The 6400-nt window shown below is 40.9% G+C and overlaps 1 protein-coding gene and 1 long non-coding RNA gene across 6 annotated transcripts in view; both read left to right on the forward strand.

Annotated features, from left to right (window-relative positions):
- THSD4 (thrombospondin type 1 domain containing 4) overlaps positions 1-6400 on the forward strand; it is a 686490-nt gene that overhangs the window by 173953 nt on the left and 506137 nt on the right. The gene's annotated exons all lie outside the window — the stretch shown is intronic.
- The window catches only part of LOC124903521 (uncharacterized), a 20957-nt gene continuing 14557 nt past the window's right edge, over positions 1-6400 (forward strand). The window contains exon 1 of the long non-coding RNA XR_007064701.1: positions 1-1280. This is a non-coding gene — a long non-coding RNA (uncharacterized LOC124903521). The remainder of the gene's footprint in view (positions 1281-6400) is intronic.

Below are 6400 nucleotides of genomic sequence, written 5' to 3' on the forward strand. Positions count from 1 at the left end.
ATGGCCATGTAGAAGGCATATTAGGAGTGTATGCTACTTTAAGGAGAAGGGAAAGGTTTGTCTAGAATGATAAAGGAATGAGGATGTTCTGTAGATGTGAGGATGTAGCTTGTAGCAAGGGAGTACAGATTTAATAGAATGATATCTCTGAACCTGTGCTATCCTAAAAGAAAAGATGCAAAGTGGGCATTTTTTCTTCCTGTAGAATGTGTATTATTGCTTCTCTGCAAGCTTTTATAAAAAGCTTCTTCATCATTTAATAAAAATTAATTCATTCAAGAGAAATGAAAGTAATCGTTTTGCCATAAAAAAAAATTTGCCCAAGAATGTTCACAGCACCTTTTTTCATATTAGCTTCAAACTGGTAACAACCCAAATATCCATCAACAGGAGACTGAATAAAAAAATTGTGGTACATTCATACAATGGAGTATTACTCAAAGTAAAAAAAGAACACACTACTGACACATGTAAAATCCTGGATGAATCTCAAAAACTTTATGTTGAGCAAAATAAGGCAGATACAAGAGCACATACTGTCTGATTCCATTTATATGGTATTCTATAATAGGAAAAATTAGGCTGTGGTGATAGAAATCAGAACAGTGTTTGCCTATGCAGGTGGGAGGAGTATTATAGCTGGAAAGGGAAATGATAGAACCTTCTGGAATGATGGTAATGTTTTATGTCATGATTGGCATTATATACACATGGGTGTATACAGTTATCAAAATCCATTGAACTATACACTTATGTGCATTTTATTGTATATAATATAAACTATATTTTTAAAACCTTATGATTCTCTTTTCCCTTTTCTCTTTCTTTCTCATTGTCTCACTCTCTGCCTCTCTCTCTCACTCTGTCTCTCCAATTCCTGAAGGAGACTTTTAGAGCTAGTATTAATGTCACATTGTGAACTATTCTAAGGCTTTCTAGTTTCTCTCTTTTATTAGACTCAAAAATGTGTAGTATCAACTATACAACTACTAGGAGAAAACATAGGAGAAACACTACAAGACATCAGTCTAGGGGATGATTTCTTGCATATGACCTCAAAAGCACAGACAAAAGCAAAAATAGACAAATGAGATTATATCAAACTAAAAAGCTTCTGCATAGCAAAAGAAACAATGAATAGAGTGAAAAGACAACCCACAGATTGGGAGAAAATATTTACAAATCATACGTCAGATCAGGGGCTCAAATCCAAAATATGCAAGAAACTGAAACCACTTACTAGCAAGAAAACAACTCTTAAAAATGGGCAAAGGGGCTGGGTGTGGTGGCTCACACCTGTAATCCCAGCACTTTGGGAGGCTGAGGCGGGCAGATCACGAGGTCAGGAATTCGAGACCAGCCTGGCCAACATAGTGAATCCCTGTCTCTAGTAAAAATACAAAAATTAGCCAGGTGTGGTGGCACGCACCTGTAGTCCCAGCTACTCGGGAGGCCAAAGCCGAATTGCTTGAACCCAGGAGGTGGAGGTTACAGTGAGCTGAGACCACACCATTGCACTCCAGCCAGGGGACAAAGTGAGACTCTGTCTCAAAAAAAAAAAAAAAAAAAAAAAAAAAGAAAGAAGTGGGGAGGGAGGGGCAAAGGACCTGAATAGACATTTCTCAAACGAAGACATAAAATAGGCCAACAGGTATATGTTAAAATGCTCGATACCACTAATCAGCAGGGAAATACAAATTAAAACTACAATAAGCTATCATCTCATGCCTGTTAGAATGGCCATTAGAAAAAAGATGAAAGATGGTAAGTGTTGGGAGGCCGAGGCAGGCAGATCACTTAAGGTCAGGAATTCAAAACCAGCTTGGCCACGTAGTGAAGCCCCGTCTCTAGTGAAAACACACAAAAAATTAGCCAGGTGTGGTAGCGCGCGCCTGTAATCCCAGCTACTCAGGAGGCTGAGGCAGGAGAATCACTTGAACCCGGGAGGCGGAGGTGGCAGTGAGCCAAGATCATGCCATTGCACTCCAGCCTGGGTGATAGAATGAGACTCTGTCTCAAAAAGAAAAAAAAAGAAAAAGAAAAATGGTAAGTGTTGGCCAGGATATGGAGAAAGGGGAACCTTTGTCTACCGTTGGTGGGAATGTAAGTTAGAACAGCCATTTTGGAAAACAGTATGGAAGTTTCTCAAAAAAAACTAAAAATAGAGTTACCATCATTCTGCAGTCCCACTTCTGGGTATATAGCCACAGGAATGTAAAGCAGTGTGTTGATGAGACGTCTGCACTTTCATGTTCACTGCAGCGTTATTCACATGCCAAGATATGGAAACAACCTAAGTGCCTATCGACAGCTGAAAGGATTTAAAAATGTGGTCTGTGTACATGAAAGAATACGATTCAGCCTGAAAGAAGAATGAAATTCTGTAATTTGTGACAACATGGGTAAACCTGGAGGGCGTTATGCTATGTGAAATAAGCCAGGCACAGAAAGATGAATATTAGATGATCTCACTTTTATGTGGAATGTAAAAATTTGAACTCAGAAGAAGAGAGTAGAATGGCAGTTACCAGAGGCTGAGGAGGGAGGGAGTGGGTGGTGAAAAGTAAAATGTTGGTCAAAGGGCACAAAATTGCAGTGAGACAGGAGGAAAAAGTTTTGGTGATCTATTGCACAGCAAGGTGACTATAATTAATAATAATGTATATTTCAAAGTTGCTAAAAGAGTAGATTCTAAATGTTCTCACCACAAAGAAATAAGTATGAGGTGAGGGATACGTTAATTAACCATATTTTCTTATTCCACAATGTATACACGTATTGAAACCCCATAAATATATACAAATATTTATCAATCGAAATAAAATTTAAAAATACACAGTATCATTTTGAGACTCATTTAGAATTATAGGGCTTTGCTGGGCGTAGGAATCCTCTAATAGGTCAGAATCCGAGGAAGCAAGCCAGACATCTGTGTTAGTTAGCTTTCTTATTTTGCAAGCAACAGACACCAATTTTGGCTAAGTCAAACACAAAAGGATTTTATCAGGAGGATATCCAATAGCTCAGAGACCCAACAGGAAGTGTGGAGAAGTAGGCTTGGTAAAGGATGGAAACTGGGAAGCCCTGGGCTTCCAGGTGGACAGAACTCACAGTCTCATTAGTGTGCTGCTGCTGCAATGGAAAATTCCAGCAGGTTTCTCCATCTAAGAGTCAAAGTCCTGGTAACAAGGGTTGGATTGGCTTAGCTTAGGCCACATCCCACACCTTGGCCAGGGGGAGCTGGGACACCCTGAGTGACAGTCTCGCCAAGACTACACACAGAGGGGAGAAGTAATTTTCAAATAAGAAATCTAGAAAGAAGGGAAAGTGGATATGGGATGGACAAAAATGATTGGTGTCTGTGACTGAAACTCATGACATGTCAGGGTAGCCACCTGGCTCATCAACTGTCATTTCATCATTCAGCTGGTAGGGCTTCCTGACACCTTTGGGGGAATTGTTGAAATTGAAATGTAACACGCAAGTATCATTCATTCCTCCTTCTTGTTGTGTTTGCATTTCTGAAGATTGTACAGACAAGACCTGTGTAGATCCCCTCTGATCCCAAATGTGATGCTGGTGTAATTCAGGTTGACCAGTGTGTATTTACACAGGCGCATGGGCCACTGCATCATAAGGGGGCATGACCTTAGGATGGGAGTGAGGAATGATTCCCTCCTCCCTGATTCCTATAATCCTGGTTGCTGGTCTAGTTCTTCTCCCACCACTGCTGCCAAGTAGGAGTATATGTGTGAAATGTCTCTGGGACAGGCCTCCTTCTCACACCCACACCATGTTTCTCTCTCTAGCTAAAGAGGAAGGAGAATGCAGGATGGGGCAAATGGTTATTACCTACCTCTGTAAGTCTTTCCACTGGAAAATGTAGGATATGAGAAAGGAAAGATTGAGGGAGAAAATTGCCTCTATTCTAGGGTATTCTAGCAGGTGTAAATGATTCTTTAAAAAGCTGTTTCTTTCCTGGCACTTGAACCCATGTCATTCTGGGTAGTTAGTAAAGAAAAGCCTCAGGGTGTATTTCAACATCTAATGAGCAGATTAGACTAAATAGGAATGATTTTAAGGACTTGAAACCAAGCATAGAGCTTAAACTCACTGCAAAATATTAAATACTGAGACCCGATCCTATTGTTTCTCTCTTCCAAGAACTCAGCTTTCTACAAAGACTGCCTTGCTCAGTTGTCATCGTGTGGCTGGTCGGGGTGTCAGTATTCTAGTGTTCCTACTCAACAGATGCAGGAATAGAGACTCACAGGGGTAGGATGGTCTGCCCTGGGTCACAGAACAACAGAGAAGAATCAGAGTCACCGAGAAGTTACATAAGCACAGCCCACCAAGCTGAGAGCAGCGATTTGCCTGAGGGCCTGCAGAAGAATTTCTCCCTCCATGCATCCAAGCCATGACTGATTCATTTCCTTTAAAAACAAACAAATGTGTTTTTACATCAAGACTACTAAGACTTCTCCAGGAAATCCTGGGTCTCTGTCTTAATCTCTTGTAGCACAGTTCTCTCACTCTCCGAGCAGAGGTCACCATGTTGTAAATTGGTGGGGACATGTCCTGAAGGAGTGGTTGGGACATTTTGTTGTACCTTGCATGGACCTTGAGATATTAGTATCTGGTGCATATCAAGAGGTTTTCAGAGTTAGATTTACAACTACGGTGTGATCAGTGAATATGCAACTTATATTTAAATTACACATTCAGCCCATGCTTTATATATTTATCAGACATTCTCACCCCACTGATACAGTCTGATTTGGCTTGGCTCTGTGTTCCCACCTAAATCTCATCTTGAATTGTAGTTCCCATAATCCCCACCTGTTATGGGAGGGTCCAGGTGGGGATAATTGAATCATGGGGGCAGTTACCCCTTGCTGCTGTTCTCGTGATAGTGAGTTAGTTCTCACGGGATCTGTTGGTTTTATAAGGGGCTTTTCCTCCTTTTGCTTGGTGCATCGCCTTACTGCCACCGTGTGAGGAGGGCTGTGTTTGCTTCCCCTTCTGCGATGATTCTAAGTTTTCTGAGGCCTCCCCAGCCATGCTGAACTGTGAGTCAATTAAACTTCTTTCCTTTGTAAATTACCCAGTCTAGCGTAAGTTTCTATCAGCAGCATGAGAACGGACTAATACACTGTCCTTCCCCCAAAGCTGTTAAACAGCTACCAAACCTGCCAGTCTCCATTTCTTAGAAATTTCTGTGAGAACACTCCATGAATCAGTGGGAGTTGTTTACAAAAGATTAAAAGAAAAATCACTTGTGTAGCTGTAGTCTGAGGTGGGAAGGTGCACCCCTCTTTCCTTTTATCTGGGTAAAATCTGCCTTGGTACATTCTTGTGATGCCACCATGTTTACCCTGGAATAATTATTTATTGCCTAGTTACCCTTTGGAGCCATGTTGAGCACAACATCCAGTGTACCTCTTCGGATATTTTAATACAATCATGTTGTCACCCCGCATCTTCTTTTTGCCAGCCTGCTGAATAATTTTATTTCCTTAAACTGATTTCTGTGCTTTGGGGCTTGCTGTTTATTATCCTGACTCTTCCCTTTAGAGTGTGGTTAATGAGTCATAACGCGCAGGTCTCCTCACCTGTGTGAGCTCTGATGTGCTGGGCTTGGAAACAAGGAATGTTATTGGGATTGATTAGTGATGCCTTGATTGGGCTTGGGAAGGGGGAATGGCTACATCTGTGCTGCCTCTTTGCCAGTTCTATGGTTTTTCAATCTTTCCAATCATGGTTACCTAGGTGCCGATTAATCCTGCTAGTTGCTCGAAAATTTGAGATGAGTCTCTATTCTTTATTAAAGACGATGAGCTTCATAAATGTTTACAATATTTCATTATATTTGACTACAAATGCCTGTATGCATTCTTTAATGGCAGGGAATGATGCAAATAAATATGAACAGGTTATCGTACATTGTCTAAATGTATTCACATTTAAAATGTAAGTAAAAAACAATATGTAGCGGATTGTAATTTTTCAAGAGATGACCTTAGGATGGGTGAAATTGTCAGGGGCTGGCCTGGTTTCCCAGAATAATCCTTTAAATTAAGAATTCTCTCATTGGGGGCAGTGTATCCAGAGGTGGAGGAACTGAATCAAGGATAGTTTTAAAAACTGGATCATCTGATGGCTGTGTATTAAATAGGTTTAATTCTTTTGATTGTATTTCCTGTCTGCATCTGAGGCCGTATCCACTGCAGAATAATAAAATGGAGGTACTGGCAACTATTTGTATTTGAATTCTTCTTCTTCTTTTTTTTTTTTTTGAAACGGAGTTTCACTCTTGTCACCCAGGCTGGAGTGCAGTGGTGCATTCTGGGCTCACTGCAACCTCTGCCTCCCGGGTTCAAGTGATTCTCTTGTCTCAGCC

Source organism: Homo sapiens, chromosome 15 (genome assembly GCF_000001405.40).
Source record: "Homo sapiens chromosome 15, GRCh38.p14 Primary Assembly".
Taxonomy (NCBI): Eukaryota; Metazoa; Chordata; class Mammalia; order Primates; family Hominidae; genus Homo; species Homo sapiens.